At 44.5% G+C, this 26894-nt stretch overlaps 1 protein-coding gene and 2 pseudogenes across 2 annotated transcripts in view, besides 2 other annotated features; 1 reads left to right on the top strand and 2 right to left on the bottom strand.

Annotated features, from left to right (window-relative positions):
- SLFN12L (schlafen family member 12 like) overlaps positions 1-26894 on the top strand; it is a 73425-nt gene that overhangs the window by 34856 nt on the left and 11675 nt on the right. Inside the window, exons 3-5 of one of the 2 annotated variants that reach the window (NM_001195790.3) lie at positions 14851-15097; positions 22628-23706; positions 24638-24748. In NM_001195790.3, coding sequence (NP_001182719.2) covers positions 22668-23706; positions 24638-24748 — 1150 coding nt within the window. In that variant the 5' untranslated portion in view covers positions 14851-15097; positions 22628-22667. The remainder of the gene's footprint in view (positions 1-14850; positions 15098-22627; positions 23707-24637; positions 24749-26894) is intronic. The other variant, NM_001363830.2, reaches the window with a different exon arrangement.
- TAF5LP1 (TATA-box binding protein associated factor 5 like pseudogene 1) lies at positions 3646-4769 on the bottom strand (annotated as a pseudogene).
- On the bottom strand, positions 8442-12791 carry E2F3P1 (E2F transcription factor 3 pseudogene 1; annotated as a pseudogene).
- Positions 12559-12853: a silencer, noted in NCBI's record as "tiled region #9708; HepG2 Repressive non-DNase unmatched - State 20:ReprD, and K562 Repressive non-DNase unmatched - State 21:Repr". NCBI's record gives its function as "represses a minimal TATA promoter and a strong SV40 promoter by Sharpr-MPRA in HepG2 and K562 cells {active_cell/tissue: HepG2 | K562}" and the evidence as "EXISTENCE:reporter gene assay evidence [ECO:0000049][PMID:27701403]".
- Positions 15368-15647: an enhancer, noted in NCBI's record as "active region_12072". NCBI's record gives its function as "activates an Ori minimal core promoter by ATAC-STARR-seq in GM12878 lymphoblastoid cells {active_cell/tissue: GM12878}" and the evidence as "EXISTENCE:reporter gene assay evidence [ECO:0000049][PMID:35858748]".

Genomic DNA, 26894 nt, shown 5'->3' with positions numbered 1-26894 from the left:
AACCGTTCTTTTCCAAAGCAAACTTCCTTTATGTCTGTGGACTAGACTGTCTAAGGCCACAAGATTACAGGTTACTATAATACATGTTACACTGTTAACTTTTAGTAAACTTTACTTTTGTTGAAAACCTTGTAAGTTTGGGATTTCAATTATCCTTTGCTATTAATAAGACCTTGTTTAGTCCAAACTAACTTAGAATTGGTATAGATGGCTTTTTTTTTTTTCCTTCAATTGCCCGGGAGGAACCATCTATCATCCTGTCCTGAAGGGAGTTCCTCCTAGGTCTGGTCGGACCTTTGTATGGTAATTAAGATTTAGATCCCCTGTTGGGAAACCTGCTGGGTTAAGGGAATTTTCAGTGGTTAATGTTAAATCATCGTTTTTTTTTTTTTTTTTTTTTTTTTTTCCTTAGGATACTTCTGAACTGGTGAGGTGTGCTCACAATGAGGTTTCCTCTAAAAGTTATTTTTTACTTTCTTCTGTTAGCAAAGCAGTTGCCACTACAGATTGAATGCATTTGGGCCATCCATAGGTTACAGGGCTAAGGATTTTTGATAGGAAGGCCTCAGTGCTTTTGGGATACCCCCTTGTTTACACTGACAACAAAGTGGTATTGGAGTGTTATAGGCTTATGGAGAATACCTTTAATTATCAATTATAGGTTTTAAATTTACCTTGGCTTTTAAAGGAATAGTGTACACTTTTTTTTTCTTAACTACTTGTATATTTCTCTGTCTCTCTCTTTGACTTTCTGTCTCTCTCTCTCTCTTTGACTTTCCTTTTGCCTCTGTCTCTTCCTCTCTCTCTGCTTCTCTTTCTCTCTCTCTCTTCTTGACTCCCTCTTTGTCTCTCTGTCTCTTCCTTTCTCTCTCTCTGCTGGTCTTTCCTTGCCTCTGCCAGCCGCTTATGCTGCTGTTCTCTCAACCACTGTGGGGGGTGGTCTAAAACCAGCTGTAACCAAGTGTCTATGTATGGGAACTGGTCTGGGTGCCCTGGCTTACAAGTTACCTTGTGCCATACCTTTGAAACAAGGGACCTGTCCAGGCTTCCTTCTGATGGCCACCTCTAATGCTGGCCAGTCTACCTTACACAAAGTTTTAAGTTTTCCTGGTGTCATAGTACTCCATAGTCTCCCTTAAATCTTTTCTTGAAATTTTTCCACATATTTCCTAGTGTGGTGGGCTTACTTTGTGCCTGACCCATGCTTCCTTGAGACAAAACACCACACTCACACCTCATGCACACCACAAAACAAAGAACGGATAAAAAGGGCACACACGCACTTTTACAGTTTACACCAAACCAGAATCAAAACCAAAATCAGAGTATCAAGAAATCCAAGCCAGGTCAAAACCAAAACCGAAGTATCAAGCAATCCAAGTCAAGTCAAAAACAAAAACCAAAGTGCCGGTACAGGCACGCTGTGGGTGATCAGGCCATGCTTCCACTAAAATGGAGTGGGCAAGGTCTAAAGACCAGTCTTACCAAGTTTCAGATGTCCGGACTCCAAGTGCCAGTTCCTCCTGGTGTTCAGCCACCATATTGATCCTCCATTGGGGTCTGCCATGCTCTGCTCTAACAAGGCATTCCACCAGGGAAAATGCCTACCCAGGAGTGCTCTCAGGATCCATGTTGCTCAAGCTGGCTGCAGTCCCCTGCAGGGATGCTCCACAGAGCAGGCCTAAGCTGCCTAAGGGGCTGCCTAGACCATGTCTGTTAATCACCTCGCTTTCTGGTCAGAATACCAAGCAATGTAGTAGGACAAGACACAGACAAAACCCCTCAGACACTGAGTTGTAGAAGGAAGGGCTTTATTCAGCTAGGAGCATTGGCAGACTCACGTCTCCAAAAACCGAGCTCCCCGAGTAAGCAATTCCTGTCCCTTTTAAGGGCTTACAACTCCAAGGGAGTCTGCGTGAAAGGGTCGTGATTGATTGAGCAAGCAGTGGGGTATATGACTGGGAGCTGCATACACCGGTAATCAGAATGGAGCACAACAGCACAGGGGATTTTCACAGTGCTTGTCTATGCAATGTCTGGAATCTATAGATAAAATAACCAGTTAGGTCAGGGGTCGATCTTTTTTTTTTTTTTGAGACAGAGTCTCGCTCTGTCACCCAGGCTGGAGTGCAGAGGCACAATCTTGGCTCACTGCAAGCTCTGCCTCCTGGGTTCATGCCATTCTCCTGCCTCAGTCTCCTGAGTATCTGAGACTACAAGCGCTTGCCACTATGCCCAGCTAATGTTTTGTGTTTTTAGTACAGACGGGGTTTCACCATGTTAACCAGGATGGTCTAGATCTCCTGACCTCATGATCCACCCGCCTTGGCTTCCCAAAGTGTTGGGATTACAGGCGTGAGCCACTGCGCCTGGCCAGGTCAGGGGTGGATCTTTAACCAGGCCTGAGGCATGGCGCCAGGCTATCTGCCTGTGGATTTCATTTCTGCCTTTTAGTTTTTACTTCTTCTTTCTTTAGAGGCAGAAATTGGCATAAGACAATATGAGGGGTGGTCTCCTCCCTTAGTTTAAAAAAAATACTAGAAATTAAAGCTTCTACGTAGGAATCAGACTCTTTACTCATCATAAGGAAATCCTTGAATTATACTGTCTCGGTTGCAGTAATCAAAAATTCAAAGGCCATACTAACTGGACGCAGACTCAGAAAACAGAAACAGGAAAACAATGGCTTAATTTAGCACACCGAATATTCTTGATATCCTTATCATTAACTGTAACTTAGTTAGCGTGATATTTTTGATCCTTAAGTTTTTAACATCGTATAAAGAATTTTCCATCCAAAGTAACATGAGGCAGAGCTACCTGAATTTCAGTGGTGATAAGACAAAAATATTTTGGCCCACAGCTTTCGCAGGAACACTCTGAAGGAAAGTTAACTCTGTGAAGTTTAATTTCTATCTTCCTTGGCCTACATTTTTTTCTAAGGTAGTGATTTTCAGTGACCTGAAACCCAAGCTGCGCCTGCCCTTTTCAATGACTAAATGGTTACAAACCAAAAAAGGTTGAACACTGACTGACAGGGGAGAGCTAGCAACTCTACTTCCTGTGTTACTTCTCAAAGTGGGGTCTGGGAACACCCTGGGGTACATGGATCCACAGGATACGGACTGGCCTCAGAAAGGCAATACCATCCAGTGTGGTGAGGGTGCAGGGACAGCAGTGTTCTCACTACTGCTGCTGAGACTGTGAAATGGCACAACCTTCTGTGGGAAAAGCAATATTCATTACAGTTTACAATGCAGGCCCTTTGACTCAGTAATCTTACTTCTAATTATTTATACCTGAGCAAATGTACGCACACATAAGTGCATATTTACTGCAAATCTCAGCTAAAGTCATTATTAGCTAAAGGTCTTTAATTAGGCTTAGGGTTGTTATCCACATTTCAGATAGTATAAATACTACCATTCATTAATAATGTTAAGTTACGTTGCTAAAAATTGTTTTTACACCTTAGGTTAGGCATGTGCAGGAATTCAATGGCTACAGGTTACATGGCATTAGTCTGGCTTTAGCTATATGATGAGGAAAATTAGGAAGTCCATTCTAAGATATGTCGTGTTTGGTAAGGACATTCTAAGCAAATTAGGAAGGCAGGTGCAGGGAAGAAAAAACGGTATTCACACATCCTCCTCCAGAATATCACAAGCCAAATGGATGCGGGACATGTCTACTTGACAGGACTCTGATTTTAACTTCCTGGATTGTAAGCTCCAAAGTTTTATACAGGAGTTGTCAAACCCAGCAGCAAGCAGCTTGCTATCAGGGGAGATTTCTGCAGTGTTCAACAGCTGCTAGGTGTTATAGAAGCAGACGGTAGTGAGGGAGGGACACCCATCCTTGACTTGCTTAATGCGCTCCTGTAAGACCTCCAGGGCAGCATCGTTCTGCAGAATAGGGCTGGGCATATCAGGGGCCTCCAAGTAATTGTTCTCACTGCGGGAGGAGCTGCCACTTGCATACAGCTGTTAGTCTGTTGTCTTGGCAGGCTGCACATCAAGATGAATAAGTAAGATAAACATTTTGCACAGGGCAGTATAGCTGTCACTTTGGAGGTAGTGGATAAGGTAGTTGTAGCTGTCTTCTTGGAGATGGACCACGTAATTGTTATCTAGGAATGCTCGAAGCTTGAAGTTAGATAGGATGTCCTGGATGGTTTGAGTGGTCTGTAGCTGCTCAATGACGCCCTTCTGGCTAGCTTTCTGCAGAAACATTCCATGGAAGCGGCTGTAAAAACTTTCCACTGTACTTTTTGGACTGTTCTGGACCAGGCTGAGATGGAGGCAGACAAAGAGAGGATAAAGGAGAGGCATCACTTCGTGGCTATGCGGGGAATCAGAATCGATGAGAAAATTCCGCAGTCGTCCAAACTGTACTTCATATTGCTGGGGCTCTGCCTGGCAAGGGACTGCAGACACTATGTCGGCACAATGAGATTCTCTGTGTACCGTGAGATTGGCCGCCAACTCTTCAGCAGTCTGTGGCAGCCGCAGTCCTTGCTTCAGGGGACCGTCTGAGTCCACGTACTGCCAGCGTTTGAGGTAGCAGGACACTGCCATCTGGATCTCCTCGGTACGCACTCATTTCATGACTGAACATCCCAGGCGGCCCCGGCTCCCCACGCCGCCGCCTCCCGGATCGAGATGCTTCCGCCTCCGTCGTCTCTGCTGCAGGTCTCGCTCTGACCGCCGGCTCAGCTGTGTCCTGGAGCCCCGCGCCCCGCCGCCCTCGCCGCCGCTCTGGGCGGCCGCTCTGTGACTCTTTATTTTAATTATTATTATTTTTTAGAGCCAGGGTCTCGCTATGTTGTACAGGCTGGTCTCAAACTCCTGGCTCAAGCGATCTTTCCACCTTGGCCTCCCAAAGTGCTGGGATTACAGGCATGAGCCACTTCGCCTGGCCCAAGAATCCTTTCCTTACTAAGACTTTTCACGAAGATTGAGAGGGTTTTAGTATTATTTAGTAACAAAAATACAAGACAATCAAATTTAATGCTTCTGAAGTTGTACCCTTTGTTAAAATTGTTTCATGAATTCAAGGTTTACACAATGCTTTTGAATCTTCTCCCTGATTCTCCCTGGTGTGAAATAAACATTTTCTTTGAAAATGCAAAGAAGGCGTTTTCAAGACTGTCGGATTGCTTTGGAACTTCTAAAATAACTACATTTTATTACCAAGTCAGATGAGTGTATTCATTGCACTAAATAGAACAGTATGAGAATGTAAACGTGGCCTTCCACTAAATTGGGTTATAATGGAAATGAATATTAGCATGCAGTCTTCCCTGCCCAGCCTCCTGAGTAGCTAGGACTACAGACAGTGCTACTAAGCCTAGGTGGCTCATTGTTTTGTTTTTTGCTTTTTTAAAAAATTATTTTTTATTTTTATATTTATTTTATTTATTATTATTTTTTAGATGGAGTTTTGCTCTTGTCGCCCAGGCTGGAGTGCAGTGATACGATCTCGGCTCACTGCAACCTCCGCCTCCCGGGTTCAAGCGATTCTCCTGCCTCAGCCTCCCCAGTAGCTGGGATTATAGGTGTGTGCCACCACGCCCAGCTAATGTTTGTATTTTTGGTACAGACTAGGTTTCGCTATGTTGGCCAGGCTGGTCTGGAACTCCTGACCTAAGGTGATCCGCCCGCTTCGGCCTCCCAAAGTGCTGAGATTACAGGCGTGAGCCACTGCGCTCGGTCTAGTTTTGTTTTTTGTAGAGACAGGAGTCTAGCTTTGTTGCCCAGGCTGCCTAGGCTCAAGCAATCCTCCCGCTTTGGCCTCCCAAATTGTTGGGATTACAGGCGTGAGCCACCGTGCCCAGCCTACAGTGGCTTTTGATGCCCTGGGAAAACACAGGTAATTATGTGCGCCTACAGAGTTATTCCATTTGTACCATTAGGGTAACATTTTCAGCCATCCTATTTCTCTGGCAAAACGTTTTGGGCCCTTGGTGACTTTTTGCTGAATGGGTGACCCGCTCCCTGCACAAAGCCATAAGAATCACTGGAGAGCTGAGGGTCTGGGGAGGCGCAAAGAGAAGGCTGAGAAGGCGATCTCGCTTTCATACACCTGCAAAGGGAAAGAGGAGCGCTGCACTCTCCCAGTCCTGGGGAGGACAGGAAAATGCTGCCACCGCGAAGACAGACGCCTACTGCACAGGCTTTAAATCCAGCCTGGTTGTGGGGCAGCGCTGGGGCTCGATCTTCCGCCCCGCTCCTTCCAGGGAGAAGGGAAGGGAGTCGAGGTCATGAGGGGAGGGGAGGGAAGGGAAAGGAGGGGCCGGAGGGACGGTGGGGAGGGGGGAAGTCGGAAGAAGGAAGGGTAGGGAGGGAGGGAAACTTGTCCAGGAGGAAACGCGGGGCTTCATTCTCTAAGGTGGTAGTGGATGCGCTGGTGGTGGTACACTTTTTTGTACGTCTGAAATATTTCATAATTAACATTTAAGAAATCTATTTTTTTTTGAGTGGGTCTCACTCTTGTCGCCAAAGTTGGAGTGCAGTGGCGCGATCACGGCTGATGTAGCCTTGATTTCCTGGGCTCATAAGATTCGCCCATTTCGGCCTCCCAAAGTGTCGGGATTACAGGCGTGAGCCACCGTGCCTGGACTGAGGAATAGTTCTGAACCTCATTCCCCAGGGATGACCACAGGTGGTGTCTCCAGGATGTTTCCCTGGTAACTGGTCACGTCCTTAGTTCCCAGGGCTGCTCTCCTGCTTGCTGTGACAGCCGTTCCGGGGGTGGGGACGACCTCACTGAGCACCCAGGAATAGGCGAGACCTCAGCATCGGTCTCGGTTTCCTGGTGGGGAATTTAAATGCCCCCGAAGGCGCTGTAGACACTGGCACGTCTTGGCGTTTTGTTGTGTGTGTGTGTGTGTGTGTGTGTGTGTGTGTGTGTGTGTGTGTGTTTCAAATCGGCTTTCTCCAGCTTCTGTCGCTCACCCTGCACGCTTCAGATTCTGCCCTCATCCCAGTGGGTCTGGGGGTCCTCACCCTGACCAGTTGTTAGTGGGCGCGAAGGACAGCGCCAGTTGGTGTCAGATCCCGGTCTAATCCTTGCCTGCCCCGAAAAGGGTCGAGTGGGCACCAATCTCTGCGGCTCGCGAGCAGAATCGGACTGGTGGGGGTGGGGTGGGGTAGGGAGGTGGGCGCGGGCCGAAGCTTCTGAGCGCCGCAACCCACCCCGGGGAGAGCCAAAGAAGGCGCGGGGAGCAGGGACACCTGCAGCAGGAGTCTCAGGTCCAAGGCCGTTGCCCTGGGGGATTGTTTTGGCCTGTGTCCTGGAGATGCCACAAACTGGGCCGGAGACCACGGCTGCCGCCAGTGCACAGAGCCTTCACTCTATTGCTTTATATGTTACTGTAAAAATAGCTATACTGAGCTATAATCGACATACATGAAACTGTACGTATTTAAAGTGTATAATATGAAGGAAATTGACCTACCTAGAAACCCTTGAAACCATCACGGCACTTAAGACAATGAACCTATGGGGAGGGCTGTTTAAGGAGAGTGAAGCACTTGCTAGTCCAAAATTGAAGGGGACACCAAACAAACATCACCTCTCAGTGAACAAGATAAACAATATTTAAAAAATCGAAATTAATGCGGCCAGGCGTGGTGGCTCATGCCTATAATCCCATCACTTTGGGAGGCCAAGGCGGGCAGATTGCATGAGCCTAGGAGTTTGAGACCAACCTGGGCAACATAGCAAAACCCCCTCTCTACAGAAAACAAACAAAAATGAGCCAGTGTGGTGGGGCGCCCCTGTAGTTCCAGCTACTCCAGTGGCTCAGGATCATCTGAGCCTGGGTGGTGGAGGTTGCCTTGAGCAGAGATCCAGCCACTGCACTCCAGCCTGGGTGACAAAGGGAGACCCTGTCTCAATAAATAAATAAATAAATAAATAAATAAATAAAATAAATAAATTAATAAAATTAACGCAAAAATCGGTGATAAATAAAACATAAAAATGTTAAATAAAGACAGGATCCAACTCTGCCTTTGCCTGGCCCTGCGTCACTCTCCTCACCCCAGTCCTGGCCCTGAACCAGTCCTCCCACCACAGAAGCCCCTCCCTCCCCTGCTCCAGCTTGCTCCCTTCCTGCATTCTAAATCAGCTGACTATATATTGCCTGCTTCTGGATCCTCTCTGCTGTCCCATTGGTCTGCTGGTCTATTTGTGTGCCCTGGCACATTGCTGTCGTATTAGAGATTTATTGTTTTTCAGGGTTCTTCAGCTCTGTGTGCCTTAGTGCAGTGCCCAAGGCCTCCAGCACAAGCTGCAATGGGAGTGAAAGTAAAGAGTATCCTTGCCTCATTCCTAAAACTCATGGGACAGTTTTTAATATTTCCTCACTGAGTGTGATTTTTTAAAAGTTTTTATTTTATAAATAATCTTTAACAGATTAAGGATATTTCTTTTTTTCTTAAAAAATCATTTTATTGATCCTTTACCATACAAAAGTTATTCAAATTACACCCATTTGAAGTGGTAAGATCACAGCTAGAGAACAGGTCACCCTGTAACAAATCTGTTTACAAAATCCATCATAAAAGCTTTTTTGTTGTTTTTTTTTTACATTATATTACATATTTTCTTTTTTAAACTAGCATACAACACAAAGCTAAACCGATTAGTAATTTGCCTACTCCCAATTTTGGGAGAAATACTTCCTTTTTACAAAATCACGTACCCCGTAGGAAAATAAATTCCCACACTCTGACAACTGCTACCCGACTTACTCTGCAAGTCATCTTCCTTCAAATCCCTCCTTCTCATACACACGAGTTGTCATGCACACACTGAATTCTTATTTTCTTTTTCCCGAAAGCTTAAGCTTTGAATACTGCAATTTTATTTACAGATCTACACGTACAACAAAAATGAAAAGAAGAACCACAACTAAGAACAAAAACAAAAACAAAATAACACTCTTAAAAAATTACATGCCATCTAGAAAGTATTCTGGTAGTGTTTACAAATTAATTGCTATTTTTGTACAAAACTGCTAAAAATGAAAATGTGAGTAGACTACATGTCAACTTACATAAAATGATTGCTATGCACAACTCTGTACATATAAGCACATACCTAACTTTGTACTTAAAGTAATGCAAATACTGTAGTACTAACCCACTTTGTGTGCCAGATACTAAGTCAAAAAGAAAATTACTTGATGCAAACAAAATACAGTATGGACATCTAATTAATGTACACCAGTTAAGCCCAGTAACTGGAAAAAATCTTAGGCATGAAGGAACTTTTAAGACTTATTAGTATTCCTTTCATTTTTAAAACAATAAATACGGCATTACATTATGAACAATTTCAACAAAACACACAACAATCTAGCCAGGTGAGCTCAGTCTTTAGACTTTGGAGAAAATCAGCTTTGTGCAGCTGGCAAAGAGAATTATACAAAGCTGGAAGCAGAGGCAGCTAACCAGATGATATAAATTTGGGAAATAGGGGAAAGCTTGGCATAAATGGTTTCCCATACAGGAAAAACCCCACAGTGCATTTCCAGTAGGCACTTTACACAAAGCTCCCTCTCCCTCCCCCACCCCAATGCTTCCTCTAGGACCACACTGACATTTTGTACCAAGTCCAGTGTGTGTGAGGGGAGGAAGCCAGGGATGGAGGTTGAAGAAGAAAAAAGGAAGATAGTCTGCACCTTCGTTTTTCTTCCCAAACATACACCCACGCATACCCACACAAAGAATTTAAAGTGCTGGTGTCACCTGTCTTGACCCCACCACCACTTTGCATATTGTGGAAATCTACCTGGAGTAAACTGGCTGAGGCTCTTGTGGTTTTTTGCTTGTGTGTGTGTGTGTTTTTTTTTTCCCCTAAGGGATATTTTCAATTCAATTAAACATATGAGTTGAGTGCCTACTATGTGCCTACCATTGGGTCAGGCACATAACATTTCAATTTAATTGTTTGTTTTGAGGTTTGTTCTTTATCTGACCCCCTCATTCCCACAGTCCTTAGCATCCAAGGAATGGACCGGAGATACTACGCCATATTCCCAGTGGGAGATGACCACTGCCACCTGCCCGAGGGAAAGCCATTCTTGGACATAACTGGTAGGATTTGCAGCTGACACAAAACCTCCAACTTGGGACACCATTCCTGAAGAGTAAAGCGGGAGACACCCTGGAATTGTTTTGCTTCATTTTCTACGCCCCCAACTTCCCTTGGTCCAACTTATTCCTTCATAGAGGAAGGGGAACGGGGTCTGGCCAGAACTATTCCAGCCCCCAACACAGTGGGAGCTCCCCGTTCCTGCCAGCTTAAGGAAATGCCACTCACACAACGGGGATGTCTTTCTCCCGAGAGGTCTCTCCATCTGACTCCATCCTGAGAAGTGGTCTCCTTGAGTGTGGTATAAGAGAGCCCTTTCCCCCATCACAGGGGCCCAGGAAGCCCAAGGATGGAGGGACCCATGCCTGCTGCTCCTTGGGGCTAAGTCACCCAACCTGGTTCTCCTTTCCAATGGGTCACCCATGTCAGCAAGCCCCAGGACTGACTCGCTCCAAGCTCCTCCTTCTGGGAATGGAAGCATGGTGGGACAAAGCTCCTTGCAGAAGCTGATAAACCTTAGATCACACAGGTTTAGATGCTCTGATCAGTAGAGGTTCTCTCCCTCTGCTGAAGTAATGTGAATTTGCAAAAATCGCTTCAAAGTAAACAATTAAATTGAAATGGTGATGGGTGCCACAGGAATGCTTAAATGGCAGCTAAAAAAATAAAAAGTTCAAAACAATCCACAAAGAACTAAGTAGGCATTTGCTACAAATCAACTAGAAACTCACAAACACATTGGGGACAGGGGAATGGGAGTGGTTCATGGAGACAGGAAAATCCACAACAGCTTAGAGTGGCAGAACTCTACTAGTCTTCTGTATCTGCAACAAGTATATTTGAAAACAGGTTCTTCATCCAGAAGCCTGTGGAGATCTTCTTGACCTCCTACTGGGACACACAGTTCATAGCTTAAACTGAATTATGACAGTAATTTGAATATTCCTAAGAAGAGCTGAAGAAATTCATTTCATACTTTTGCATGACTTCAAGTTTGCATTTGCTGCAGTTCCATTCCATATCAGCAGACCTCAAAGACATGCATTCTGTGGAGAAGGCATGGCTTGAAATGCTATTAAGGAAGATTGCTGTTTCCCAGCAGGCCAGGTGGCCAGACCCCATTCTGCAGCCCATCCCTCAGGCACAGCAAGCCAATCCGGGGAGGAAGGAGGAAGGAAAAGTCGGGGTGAGAGACAACTGATTGTACATTTTCTCACTTGCTGACCTAGCCAGGAGATCTTGGAGCCTGTAGCAAAGCAGGGCTTTCCCAAGGGAGCCTGCAACTGTGCGTTTAGACAATTTGTTTATTAATTTTTAAAAAATTCATGAAAATGTCAGCTTTCTTCTGAAGTTTGTAGTTTACTTCATGATACTCTCCTGGAGGAAGAAAGTAGGAAGGGACAACATTGCATGACATATGTTCTGGTTCCATGATTTAAAAAAATTGGTTTTTAAGGAGAGTTCACATGAAGCATAATCAACTACACTTGAAGTCTTCCACCAGTGGGAGCTTTTCCAAATCATAGGCATCAAAGAGATCGCTGATGCCTTCCTCCTCCCCGAGGCTCAGGAGGAGCAGCAGGGGAGGCAGTAAGTTCACAAATGGTCATCTTGCAGCAGGGGAGGCAGTAAGTTCACAAATGGTCATACTAGAGGATTAGAAGGAATTTGGTCCGCAGTCTGCTGTAAGAGGTTGGCTGGGGAGGCCGGAGGAGAAAGGTTTCCCATAGAAATTGAGCAATCGCTATGTCCTGAGTTGGTTGAAACCAACGAGGTGGGTTTAAGGATATTCCCATTGGGGTCTTGGTTGTTTGTTGTCATTGGACTGTGTTTCAGTCTCTTCTGGACATAAGTAAACCTCAATGTGCCCTTGGGTACCTGCCAAATGTATTTGTAGGCTCTCTTATTGAGTCAGGCACTCAAGTCTTATTTCTGGAGGGGCTTTCACAACTATAACAGTTTGGTCTTTAAGGCCACTAATTTTTCGAATATGTTGATATGTAACGTAAGCTAACCTTTGACGATCTGAATCCTCGGTTAATAGTTTGAGGTCCAGCGTGCAGCTTGGGATCAGTTCATCTAATTTCTTCTCTTCCTGAGTGAGCTTGGTCATTTCTTTTGACAGGCCTTGACACTGGGTCAGCATGCCCCCATCCGCAGACAGACTGCAACCCATCCACTGGACGTTATTTTTAGACTTCTTCTTAATGAGATGGATGCCTTTCAGAGCTTTGGTGATATCATAAATCCTTCTATTTTGCACTTTTAGCACTTCCGCTGCCTTGTTCAAAACCAAGACCCCATCGGGTGACTGGTTCAGGAGCTGAATGAACTTCTTGGTGAGCAGATCAAGAGACTATCGTACCGTGTTTTTTCTGAGGTAGATTTTGGAGTTTTTGGAGTATCTGGACTTCTTAGTGCAGCTCTTCCTTTGCCCTTGGGGGTTTTTGAACCATCCGAGAGGTACTGATGACCGCTTTCTCCTAGCTCCAGACTTCACTTTGCCAGAGGGCCACTGCCGCCTCGTCCCAGCGCTGGTGGCTGCAGCAGCCCGGCTCTGCTGGAGGGTCCCTGCGGCGTGGTGTAGAGGAGGTTGCCGGCGGTCTGCTCCGCGCCTGGGGCACTGGGGAGGAGGGGGCCGGTGGCTACGGCGCCGCTTTGGAGGGAGAGGGAACAGGAGGTGGTGGAAGTGTTCGTGGTGAGGATCTGGATGTCGGATATTTCTTTCTATTCCCAATTTGCTAAGGGTTCTTTTTAAAAATCATGACTGGTTGTGGGATTTTTGTCCCACTTGGAGCATAAGATGCTGTGCTGTATAAACTGTCATAATATTCCACAAGGTTGGTGTTCCTCTCCGGAAGTAGATGACAGTTTTCTGCCCCATTGATATTAGGCTTGGCAAGGTGACTTGTTTTGATCTATGGAATAAGTGCAGACGTCATATGTATTCTTTCTGAGGATAACTTTCAAGAGTCAAATGCTTTTTCGGTATCTATTGAAATGATCATGTGATGTTCCTTTTTTCATTAATGCAGTGAATAGGCCGATTGATTTTCACATCTAAATCACTCTTGGATACCGAGAGTAAACCTCTGTTGGTCTTAATATAATTTTGGGGGGTATATTGCTGCATTCATTTTACATATATATATGTACATATATATACGGACAGGGTTTCACTCTGTCGCTCAGGCTGGAGTGCAGTAGCCTGATCACGGCTCACTGCAGCCTCAACAGCCCAAGTTCAAGTGATCCTCCCACCATAGCCTCCTTAGTAGCTGGGACCACAAGTGCACTGCCACCACGCCCGGTTATTTTAAAAAATTATTTGTAGAGATGACGTCTCCTTATATTGCCAGGCTAGTCCTGAAGTCCTGGGGTCAAGCGACCTTCCTGTCTCCTCCGCTCAAAGTGCTGGGATAATAGGCGTGAGCCACTGCCACGGTATAGGAACGACGTCGTAATCTTTTTTGCTTACTTCTTGGATGCCTTCTTGGTGGTCTGGGAAAATCCCTGCACTACCATTTTGTAAGTCAGTGACTGAAGAAGAGTTTCCTCACTTCAGTGAAGCTGTTTCCTTAGAGCTGGCGTGAGAATCAGATGAAATGAAGAAAAGCACGGCTATGTACTTTTGTTTTGTTTTGTTTTTGAGGCAAAGTCTCGCTCTGTCGCCTAGGCTGGAGTGCAGTGGCGGGATCTGGGCTCACTGCAACTTCCGCCTCCCCGGTTCAAGAGACTCTATTGCCTCAGCCTCCCGAGTAGCTGGGATTACAGGCGCGTGCCACCACGCCCGGCTAATTTTTGTATTTTTAGTAGAGACGGGATTTCTTCATGTTGGCCAGGCTGGTCTCAAACTCCTGACCTCAGGTGATCCGCCCGCCTCTGCCTCCCAAAGTGCTGGGATTACAGTCCTGAGCCACCGCGCCCGGCCAGCTATATACTTTCAATGCATGTGCTCATTCAGTGTGAAGAAGTACTCTGCCTGTACCTTAAGATTCTAGATGGGACTTCCAACGGCAGGCCCTTAATTGAGTCCGGAGTGGGATGGAGCTAGGGAGAAAGGGCAATTCAGACTGGTGAACTCCTCAGTTAGTGAGTCATTTTGGCCTGTGTGCATTTCAAAAAGTATGGGTTCTCGCAACAGTTCTTAGACGTGTGGGCTGGAGAAACGTGTATTATCGTAATTACCATAACAAGGGCCCCACGAAAGCAACGTGACAGGAGGGCTGTATCCAGTTAGAGGAGCCACTGGACTGTTCGAAGCCAACTAATTGGCCTAGAAGGCCGCAAGATACTTCCTACACCGCAAGGGGTAGTTGTTCAACTCTGTCTCTCTGAGAGCAACCCGCTCCTCGCACCTCCCTCCTCCCCTGTGCATTAGTAGCTGCTCTCCCCCGGTTTCTGGCGTCAACTGCGCTTTCAAGCAAGGGGACAGCAGGGCTGCTCTGGGATACGAGTCAAGCTGGAATGTCACCCCTTTAGGGGTTTGGTCCTTCGTCAATTTTTTTTTGAGACGGAGTCTTGCTCTGTCGCCCAGGCTGGAGCGTAGTGGCACGATCTCGGCTCACTGCAAGCTGCGCCTCCGGGGTTCACGCCATTCTCCTGCCTCAGCCTCCCGAGTAGCTGGGACTACAGGCGCCCGCTACCATGCCCGGCTAATTTTTTTGTATTTTTAGTAGAGACGGGTTTTCACCATGTTAGCCAGGATGGTCTCTATCTCCTAAGCTGGTGATCCACCCTCCTCAGCCTCCCAAAGTGCTGGGATTACAGGCGTGAGTCACCGCGCCCGTCGTTGGATTCGCAGACACACCGTTTCCAAAGGCGCAGAGTCGATAACAGCGCGTGCGGTGCCACCACTTCCGGGGAGTCGAGTGCCCGATAGAAATGCAGCTGAGCGAGGGGCTAGCCGCACACGGACGCGGAGAGCAGGAAAGTGGAAAAGAACTCAGGTCCCCCTACTTGGTGAAGAGTGCGCAGACATGGACCTCGCCAGGTTCGTTCTCTTTTTCTTTAAATAACTTTTTTTTCGCCTTAGAAAATACAAATAGGTACAGACGAAACGAGAACTTCTCCGTGATCCCTCAGAGCTATTCACGTGGGCGTTTAACTTTCAGTTGCTTAAGGGCCCGCGCTGGCACAGCGCCTGCAAGGAATCCTGTTTCCAGGGAATTGCTGGCAGATAAATTCGTCCCGCTCCACTGCCAAACCTTCCAGCCTCCGTTTCTTATTCCGGGGGTCCGGGGGGGGTGGTCCGTGGGCTCCGGGACGAGGTGGGGCGCTGCCAGAGCAACCCCACCGATCTCGGGGAGACCCGAGGCTGCTTTCTCTCCCTTCTGGGAAAGTTGGCTCCTGTCTCTGTAGCAATGTCTGTCAAAACCGCAGGCTGTTGTAGACTTAGCAATGGAGGACTTGAAAGCTGTAGATGACAAAACTTCCGCCCGTGCGTGGGCTGGGGAGCGCCTTAAAAAGCCGCAGGGCGGCCGGGCGCGGTGGCTCAAGCCCGTGAGGTGTTGGTGCAGAGCTGGAGAAGTGGGGAGTGCTGTATGGACAGGCCAGACTTGGCAGGTGTCCATCGGATGGGGGTTGCCCACCCTCCTGGAGTCCTGAGCATTCAGGGAGTTGGGGAATGGGTTATTTAGGTGAAATGTGACCAGGCACTGACGAACTGCGCCCTAGATCCTGAAAGAAAAACCAAGCACCCTCTTGCGCTGCTGGTTTATCATCTAGAAGAGGGAAAGGGTGAAAGCAGTGCTGTTCCGAACTAAATGCAAAGTGGTATCCGAAGACGGCAAATCACGCTCTATGCTTTTTGCTCCCCAGGAGGTAGCTCTTCTGCCTCCTGTCCCACCCTTGTGGGTTGCAGTTCTTACTAACCTGTTGTTCTGGCATAACTCTAAGGAGATATGAATGCCACCCCCATTCCCATTAAAGATAGCCAACAACATAGCCTAAATCATGAGTTCAGGTCTGATAGAATTTCCCCTATAGTCAAAAGTATAAAGGATTTCAGTGGAAACATCTAACCTGTAAACCTAGACCCAAGGTTTAAGGGAGGCCAGTGAGTTTTAGGCCCTAGAGATTTGGTCGGCTCAGTCCTCAGCTCGTTTTTATTTATTTATTTATTTAATTTTAGCATTGTGTTCCAGATGTATGCCTGAAGCCTGAGGTTTTGAACCATGGAAAGTTTTACATGGCTGCAGGTGTTGGACTCGGGTGGCCAGGATCCCAGGCTAGTCCACAAGTGCTCGGTCCTCTATAAGGTGGCTCAACTGCAGCTCCCATGGGTTCCAAGTTTCCCAGTGGTATGCGTACCCTCCTTAAGCAATCTGAGGGTGAGATGTGATTTCTGTCACCTTCTGTGTATGGTGGGTGAGCCAAAAGGGTTCATCCAGGGCAAGGCCTGATACAGACAGTGCAGGAAGTTGGGCTGGGAGGAAAGGGGACAGGACTCCAGTTACAGAGGCTGCAAGAAGAATTGGAGAGCAGGGGCTAATCAAGGAGGTGAAAGAACTTTACGAGGAGAACTATGAAACACTGCTGAAAGAAATCATAGACGACACAAACAAATGCAAAAGCACTCCATGCTCATGTGTTGGAAGAATCAGTATCATTAAAATGTTCACACTCCCCAAAACAATCTACAGATTCAATGCTATTCCTATGAAATTACCAATGTCATTTTTCACAGAATTAGAAAAAATGATTTAAAATTTGTATGCAACCAAAAAAGAGCCTGAATAGCCAAGGCAATCCTAAACAAAAAGAACAAAACAGGATAGGGAGCCTTACACCACATTACTGCATTTCAAGCTATACTTCAAGGCTACAGTAACCAAAACATAGTACTGATACAAAAATAGACACGTAGACCAATGGAACAGAATAAAGACCCCTGAAATAAAGCTTCACACCTACAACCAACTCATCTTTGATAAAGTCCACCAAAATAACCAATGGAGAAAGGACACCCTATTCAATAAATAGCTAACCATATGCAGAAGAATGAAACTGGATCCCTGTCTCTCACCATATACAAAAATTAACTCAAAATTAAGACTGAAATGTAAGACCACGAACTATAAAAGTTCTAGAAGAAAATCTAGGATATACTCTTCTAGACATTGCCCTGGGCAAATAAATTATTATAAAGATCTCAAAAGCAAATGCCACAAAATCAAAGATAGACAAATGGGACTTAACTAAACAGCGTCTGCACAGCAAAAGTCTCAACAGAGTAAACAGACAACCTAGAGAATGGGAGAAAATGTTTGCAAGTCATGCATCCAACAAAAGACTAATATCCAGACTTTATAAAGAACTTAAATGAATCAAGAAAAAAACAAACAACTCCATTTAAAAAATGTGCAAAGGGCATGAACAGAAACTTCTCAAAAGAAAACATGCAAGCTGCTCACAAACATTTAAAAGGTCAACATCACTAATCATCAGAGAGCTGCAAAGCGAAATCACAATGAAATACCATCTCATCTAGTCAAAATGACTATACTAAAAAGTCAAAATATGTAGGAAAAAATTAATGAAAAATAAAGAGTTGGTTTTTTGAAAAGATCAAGATTGACAAACCTTTAGCTAGATTGATGAAAGAAAAAACTCAACTAAAATCAAAAAAGAAAGAAGAGACATTACTATTGATTTTATAGAAATCAAAAGGATTATAAGAGTGTACTGTAAAAAATTGTATGCCAACAAATCAAATAACCTAGATGAAATGGACAAATTCCTAGAAACACATCACCTACCAACACTGAGTCAGGAAAAAACAGAAAATCTGAATAGACCTATGTCTAGTAAGGAGATGGAATCAGTAATCTAAAACCCAACTAAGAAAGGCCATGGACCAGATGACTTCAGTAATAAATTCTACCCGAGTAAATTTTTTTTTTGTGAGCCTCTGTCAATATAAACAATTTGAATAAACCCAAATCAGCATTATCAGCACCATCCTGGCAATCCAATCTGACTTGATCCTGTGAAAGAAATCCTGCTCCAGATAGTGAGAGCAATGCACTTGCCAGGCTATTCTCCTGGAATAGGACCTAGCCATGAGGTCCTAGGACAACCCCACAGCCACAAGTCCCAGGGTTTCTTGGGTGAAGGGCCATTGAGTTTCCCAGATGGAAGGAACAGGGATGCTAGTAGTTCTGTCCAGTCTGGGGCACCCTGCCAGGATGACACTGCTGGTGCTGATTGGTACCTGGCACTGGAAATGGTTTAGATAATTTCAAGGAGGGCATTCCAGAACATGGAACGTGCTTTGAACCCCCTGAGGTTCAGTGTCTAAGGTAGGAACTGAACCAAAGCTTTTCCTTCTGGTGTCTTAAATGATTGGGAGTCCTCGCTTGATTTCCTGCAGTTTGAAAACAACTGCTCTGGCCACTTCACTGCTTTGTTTCTAAATATTTCCCTAGATCTATGGTGAAATTAGTGCCAAGTATAGGTACAAAGTTATGTGGGAGTAGCAGAGAGTGAAGGACAAATATGGGAGTTCTGGGATGGATGATAGAGAGTTTATCAGGTGACAAAGGTGGAGGAAAACATTAGAGTCTCAGAGCACACCTATGCAAAAGCACAGAGTCCCCAAATCACATGGGGAGTGGTGACTACTCTGGTGCACAAGGAGTTGTGTCATTTATTGAACATCTACTCTGGTCCCTGTAAATTGTTAAGTGTTATATGGAATAGACGGTTCTTTTTCCTCTGTATGTCACCACCATGATTTGCATATGAATTCTCTTGATGTAACCCCAATTGTCCAAATGATCTGGGGCCTCAATTTTATTATTGTTTACACATGATCAGAAATTTATAGAGACAAAGGTGGTATCTACAACCTTAGCTGAGTATCTGCGTGATAGTGGTCTAGCAGTGGACAGGAATATTCTGACCCCTTTATAGCCCTTTCCTAGTGTAGTGATTACTACCTATGATGGACTTTACTCTCAACTGTCTCTAGGCCACTTGACAAACCTACAGTCTTTAGGTTTTCGTCTATAGCAAAACAGTGATCCCAATAGATTTTAAAGGAAAAGAGCTAATGGATTATGTATACATAGACTAAAGCACACTGTCTTAGTCTGTTTGGCCTGCCACAACAAAATACCATAAATTGGGTGACTTATAAATAACAGAAATTTATTACTCAGTTCTGGAGCCTGGGAAGTCCAAGATCAAGATACCAGCATCATTGGATTCTGGTGAGGACCTTCTTCCCATTGCAGACTGTCAACTTCTTCTGTGTTTTTCATATGGCAGAAGGGGTGAGCTTGTGTTACAGGATCTTCAGGGTGTTGATTTTCTGGCCAGAAACCTCTGTGGCTGGCGGCACCTTTGCCAGAGTTCTTGTCCTGTGTCCAGGAAGAATGAGGTATGCAGACAAGTGAAGGGTGAACAAGACGAAGATGAGCTTTATTAAATGTTAGGACAGCTCAGAGGAGACCTGCAGTGAGTAACTCCTCTCTGTAGGCAGGTCATCCCATGGAATGTTCAGCTCTCAGCAGAGGGGAGGCCCTGGGGAGGGTAGCTTCTATCTGCTACTGGTCCTTCCTACGTTTGCTGCTCTCAGCAGAGAGGAGGCCCTGGGGACCGTTGCTTCTCTCTGCAGCCAATGTCTCTTCAGGTCTCTGAAGCGCTCAGCAGAGAGGGTAGTTCCACTCTGCGGCTGGTTGTCCTGTCCTCTCCTGCTATCAGCAGAGAGGGTAGTTCCTCTCTGAAGTTGGTCCTCTCTTCATCTCTTCCTCCTCTGCCCCTGCTCTGGCTGAGCCCAGGGCTTTTATGGACCTCAGAGGGGAGGAAGTGTGTGCCATTGGTCCACATGCAGCCCCAGAAGAGGCACCACAAGTCCCCACAGTCTACAGCACTGGCAGCCCGGTCCCCAGCCTTCAGGCCCTCCCAGGCCTGAAGGTGTGGCCCTACTGGGGACCCGCCGCCTTTGACCCAGGAATCTGTCTGCCTCCCACTGCCATTTATGTCTCCGGAGTTTGGCCAGCCTTTGCTCCCAGATCAGAGTGGGCACCGACAGCAGGGAGAAGGAGAAGCCAGGCAGTGGGAGCAGGCACTTCTGAGCCTGCGAGGGCAGGGGGATCTTCTCAGGCCCCAAGAGTGCAGAGATGCCTGAATCTGCAATCTCGATTTGGGTGGCTGCAGCTGCATGGGGCAGGGTTGTGGGGCAGGATTCTAGCATGCTGCAGAGAGCGGGAGGCCTGGGTCTACAGTGGTGGTTTGGGTGGCTGCAGCAGCACCTGGGGAGCTCACGTCCCAACTTGGAAGAGGCAGGGCTCCCACGGGCTCCAGAAAGTGTGCAGCCCTAGCTGCCCCTCCCTGCTGCAGCCTTTGTGATGGCAGGCTGCCATCCCTAGCTTTCTGAAGTCCCTTTTAGAAGAGCACTAATCTCATTCATGAGGGATCTACCCTTTAACCTAATCACCTCCCAAACGCCCATCATGTTGGGTGTTAGAATTTCAACATATGAATTTTGAGAGGATGCAAACATTCAAGGTAGAGCACAGGTGTTTTGTATATAAGAATATTACCTTGACTGGGCATTGTGGCTCATGCCTGTAATCCCAAAACTTTGGGAGGCCAAGGCAGGTGGATCATCTGAGGTCAGGATCATCATCGAGACCAGCCTGGCCAACATGGTGAAACGCTGTCTCTACTAAAAATACAAAAAAATTAGGCAGGCATGGTGGCAGGTGCCTTAATGCCAGCTACTTGGGAGGCTGAGGCAGGAGAATCCCTTGAACTCAGGAGGTGGAGGTTGCAGTGACCTGAGATTGTGCCATTGCACTCCAGCCTGGGCAACAAGAGCGAAACTCCATCTCAAAAACAAAAACAAAAACAAAAAACAAACAACAAAACAAACAAACAAAAAAACCAATATTATCTGTGGGGTCCAGCCCTACAGGGTCTGTGGGTTTTTCTCCTCGTGTGCGGAGACGAGAGATTGTAGAAATAAAGACACAGGACAAAGAGATATAAGAAAAACAGCTGGGCTGGGGGGCCACTACCACCAAGGTGCGGAGCCTGGTAGTGGCCCCGAATGCCAGGCTGCGCTGTTATTGATTGGATACAAGACAACGGGGCAGGGTAAGGAGTGTGAGCCATCTCCAGTGATAGGTAAGGTCACTTGGGTCATGTGTCCACTGGACAGGGGGCCCTTCCCTGTTTGGCAGCCAAGATGGAGACAGAGAGCACGGCTTATGCCATTATTTCTTCTACGCATTTCAAAGACTTTTAGTACTTTCACTATTTCTGCTACTGCTATCTAGAAGGCAGACCCAGGTGTACAGGGTGGAACATGAAAGTGGACCAGGAGCATGACCACTGAAGCACAGCATCACAGGGAGACGGTTAGGCCTCCAGATGGCTGCGGGCAGGCCTGACTGATGTCAGGCCTTCCACAAGAGGTGGTGGAGCAGAGTCTTCTCTAACTCCCCCGGGGAAAGGGAGACTCCCCTTCCCGGTCTGCTAAGTAACAGGTGCCTTCCCCAGGCACTGATGCTACTGTTAGACCAAGGTCTGCTAGGTGACGGGTGCCTTCCCTGGCGCTGGTGTTACCGCTAGGCCAGGCAGCCCTCTAGAAGCCCTGTCCGGGCGTAACAAAGGGCTCACACTTGTTTTCTGGTCACTTTTCATCATGTCCCTTCAGCTCCTATCTCTGTATGGCCTGGTTTTTTTCTAGGTTATAATTGTAGAACAAAGATTATTATAATATTGGAATAATAATACCACAAACTAATGATTAATGATAATCATATATAATCATATCTATAATCTATTTTTAGTATAACTATTCTTATTCTATATATTTTCTTTATTATACTGGAAGAGCTTGTGCCCTCAGTCTCTTGCCTTGGCACCTGGGTGGCTTGCCACCCACGATTACCTCCTTGTAAACGTGGATGTTTGATAGGGAAAGGGCACAAGGAGTTGGTCTGTTTTGCTTGCGATCAATGCCCAAAATTTGTGAATCTAATTCATTCTTATAAGAATAAAAAATAATTAAGATTATTATTGCTGGACCCTCTTAGACCCTATCTGGCAGTTTTCCAAAAGGATTTCCCATAAAAGGAGATAATTAATGAATGTAAAAGCTAAAATTATTAAAATAAAAAGTAAAGAAGAAATAATATGCATGACTAAAACCTTGTCCACTGAGAAAATAAAAACATAGAATCCCTCCAGGGATTTACTTAAAGAAAGAAGAGAGAAAACAAATTGTACAATATTAGTGATGAGAAAGGACACAACGAACACATAAAGACAAGATTAAAATTATTAGAATAAGATCGTATAAAACAGTTGTAACAAATTTGAAAATTCAGTAGGAGTATAAATTATCACAGCCTTAGCTCAAAATTTGTTAGAAATTAGTTATCTCAGACCCATATACTTACCAGTCTAGTGGAAAATATACAGTAAAGGATTTTTCTACGTTTGCCTCATAATGCAGAATTTGCTGTCTCTCAGGCTTAACTCCTATTCTAACGGCTCTATTTTACAGAAAAGAATTTCTGCGTGGAAATGGCTTAGCTGCTGGGAAAATGAACATCAGTATTGATTTAGACACAAACTATGCTGAGCTGGTTCTAAATGTGGGAAGAGTCACTCTTGGAGAGAACAATAGAAAAAAAATGAAGGATTGTCAACTGAGAAAACAGCAGAATGAAAATGTCTCACGAGCTGTGTGTGCTCTGCTGAATTCTGGAGGGGGAGTGATCAAGGCTGAAGTTGAGAATAAAGGCTATAGTTATAAAAAAGATGGAATAGGGCTAGATTTGGAAAATTCTTTTAGTAACATGCTGCCATTTGTTCCTAATTTCCTGGACTTCATGCAGAATGGTAACTACTTTCACATTTTTGTGAAATCATGGAGCTTGGAAACCTCTGGTCCGCAGATTGCCACGTTGAGCTCCAGTTTGTACAAGAGAGATGTAACGTCTGCAAAAGTCATGAATGCTTCTGCTGCACTGGAGTTCCTCAAAGACATGGAAAAAACTGGAGGGAGAGCATATTTAAGACCAGAATTCCCTGCAAAAAGGGCCTGTGTTGATGTACAAGAAGAAAGTAACATGGAAGCCTTGGCTGCTGATTTTTTTAACAGAACAGAACTTGGTTATAAAGAAAAATTGACCTTTACTGAATCCACACACGTTGAAATAAAAAACTTCTCGACTGAAAAGTTGTTACAACGAATTACAGAGATTCTCCCTCAATATGTTTCTGCATTTGCAAATACTGATGGAGGATATTTATTCGTTGGTCTAAATGAAGATAAAGAAGTAATTGGCTTTAAAGCAGAGAAGAGTTATCTTACTAAGTTAGAAGAAGTAACAAAAAATTCCATTGGGAAACTGCCTGTGCATCACTTCTGTGTGGAGAAGGGGACGATAAATTACTTATGCAAATTCCTTGGAGTATATGATAAAGGAAGGCTTTGTGGATATGTGTATGCACTCAGAGTGGAACGCTTCTGCTGTGCAGTGTTTGCTAAAAAGCCTGATTCCTGGCACGTGAAAGATAACAGAGTTAAGCAGTTGACCGAGAAGGAATGGATCCAGTTCATGGTGGATTCAGAACCAGGTTGAGGAAGGAGGATTGGCAATAAGGATACCTTTGGCTTGGGTGGCAGGAAGGTTTTATTGTATCTTTGGGATTAGGGACAAGATTAAAAGTCTTCAAATTTCAACATCTCTGGTGGATACAACCAATACTTCCCTGCCTCTTGTTTTCTTCTGCACACTTAGAAGATAGATATTCCATACAATAACTAAATATCTACTCTTAGTAGCCTTATCTGATGCAAAGATTCTAGATGTTTCTTCTCTACCATTTCTTTACTCACTTTCAAGGAAAGCCTGTTCAATTCTTTTCGTTTTTCTTTCAGGGCTCATTTTCTGTAACTAACCATTGCTTTCTTTTGGGAACACTTACTCTTTTACTTGCTTGCTCTTTCATCTTTCTTTACCCACTTTCCATTTATTTCCTGTAAAGACTTCCCCTCTTCCTCTCACATTTATGAGCCAAAGAGTAACCTAAATTGTACCAATAAGAGAAGAATAATGCTGATATTTTATCTGGTTTTGGAAAAGGAAAGCCTCCAGTGAGATTAGACCAGAACTAGCAACTTACAAAATCTCTGAAAATGCAAACTTGTTCCTCAGAATCTGCATAAAACCCAGTTTTCCTTCACTAGCCATCACATTCTTCTAATTTTAACTTGTTTTAAAATAAACTCAGTTATATGGCAATGTATTAAATTGCTATCAATGCATTTTTACTGTTAATTTTCCTTCCAAGTATAGAGTGTTTCAGCAGCATCAAGAGTTAATTTTACAATTTGTATCTGACCTAGGAATCTAACCACAATATGTAACCACAATATCTAATGTTCTGTATTGGGAATGCAGGATCAGTTCTAAGTAGACGTTTGGTATACTGTGCATTAGTTAGCTTGAGTCTCTCCCATGCCAAATTAAGAGCGTGATTTTTGTTTTCTAACATTATTCCATAGTATGTGAGGAACTGCCCTCTCCAGCAAGTACATCATCACCTGTCTCCCAGAGTTATCCTCTTCGTGAATATATTAACTTCAAAATTCAGCCACTGAGATATCACCTTCCAGGTAATTTAATTCTGGCTTCCGTGGAGTTGTTGGTGTAACTGTGTTCAAACCTCCTTCTCTTCAAACCAGCTCTGTCTTGATATTTGTTATGGAAGCACATTCTTTTGTTTATGGAAATTCTTTGGTGTTTTTAGTCATTGAATTTGTCAAATTCTATTTCTTTAGGTGCCTAAGTAGGGGTAGAATTGTTCGTTCAGGCAGTGTGTGAATATTTAAGTAATAAGATAATGTCAAATTATTTCCAAAGTAGATAGCTCACTTTACTTCCACCAGCAATATATTGGAAATGCCACATCTTTTCCAATGCCAGACTTCTCTCTTCATCTTTCTACTTGAACTTCTTTTCTCTTGAACTTCTTTTCTTCCTCAGTCAAATCGGTATTTATTTGGGTATATACATGGAAGAAAATATCTCCCATAGAAGATATTTTATCTTCTATGAAGTGGCGATTCTGTCTTTTGCTCATTTTTGTAATAGGCTTTATCTTTTTCTTACTGATTTCTAGGAGCAATTCACAGATTCTAACATAAAATCCTCGTTTAGTCACAGATAGTACAGATTTCAGACGTCTTCTCCAAGTTCATGACTTGCATTTTCTCTTTTCCCAAGGCATATTCTCCCTAGCAGTTTTAAATTGGATATAGTCAAACTTGCCATTTAAAAATTTTGTGGTTTAGTGCTCTTTGTGCCTTGTGTAAGAGATCCTTCCCTACCCCGGGGTTATAAAGATATTTCTGTTTATTTTCTTTTAAAAATTTTAAAGTTTTGCACTTAACATTTAACATTTAAATATGTAATCCACATCCATAAACGGTGATGTAGGGGGCTATTTCATTTTATCCCATGTGGATAACCACTTTTCCTAGATCCAGTTACTGAAAACTCAGTTTCACCTGCTGATCGCCACCTCTGGGATATTACTGCATACAACTGACCCTTGAACAAACTGGGGCTTAAGACCACCAAACCCCTGATGATTTTTATCCATTGATTTCAATTTTCTGAGCCTGTAAGAGGATCAGGACATCTTCATCTTTTCACCTATTTTATTTTTGGGGGGTTTTAAAAAAGATGTAACAGTTATTTTAAAGTCCCTCTTTGATGACTCCAATGTCTGAAGCACTTGCCAGTCTTTTTCTATAATCCAGTTTTTCTCTTATTTTCTAGTAATTTGTTCTGATTTTTATCCTGTCTCTTAATTTTGTATAGTATTATGGATTACAAATTGTAGAGACTTTAGTAGATGTTACATTTCTTCAGATAGGGTTACACATTTTTTTTTTTTTTGGCAGACAGAACACCAGTGATAACTTTTACTCTTTTGAAGTTTTGTTTTATGCTTTTCTAGGTATAGTAGCTTTTAATTTTGCACTAATTACTAGGTCATGGCTCTTCTGGGGTCTTAAAGTCTGGGGTATTTACCAAGACCCTTCTACTTGGCTGGGAGTTGAATTACAATTTGTGTTTCCTGAGCACCGTGAGGCTGATGAAAGTGATGTTCAGCTCTTTAATCTCCCAGTTGATCAGTTGATATTTTCTCCTTCCTTCCTTCTTTCCTTCCTTCCTTCCTTCCTTCCTTCCTTCCTTCCTTCCTTCCTTCCTTCCTTCCTTCCTTCCTTGCTTTCTTTTCTTTCTTTTTGTGACAGGGTTTCACCATATTGCCCAGGCTGGTCTCAAACTCCTGGGCTCAAGCAATCCACCTGCCTCGGCCTCCTAAACTGCTGGGATTACAGGCATAAGCCACCACACCCAGCCCTAGTTGATATTTTCTTCTGTGTTTCTAGCATCTCACCTGTATTAGCCAGTGAGTTGAGGGAAATTTGTGGGTAGATTTTGGCTTCTTCTCTTCAGTTTCATCTTCTCTGGGATTTTGTTTCTGAAATCCCAGCTCCTCTGGCAGCCCTGAAGTCTGACCTCTGTTTTCTTTAGCCCAGTAAAACTGCTGATTTCTGCATGGGCTCTATTTACCCATGCTGTGATATGGAAAATCTCCTTAGGGAAAAAGCAGAGGTGAATGTGAAGCTACTTCCTGTGATTCTTCTGTATTAAAGATTGTAGCCCTTTAAGTCCTGCTTGTATTGGTTGCTCTCCAGTCCTTTAAATTATAGTTTTATGATATATATATATACATATATATAAATTTAA

This window comes from Homo sapiens, chromosome 17 (genome assembly GCF_000001405.40).
Source record: "Homo sapiens chromosome 17, GRCh38.p14 Primary Assembly".
In the NCBI taxonomy this organism is placed as follows: Eukaryota; Metazoa; Chordata; class Mammalia; order Primates; family Hominidae; genus Homo; species Homo sapiens.
Note: the sequence above shows the minus strand (reverse complement) of the source record. Positions and strands in the feature narration are given on the sequence as shown.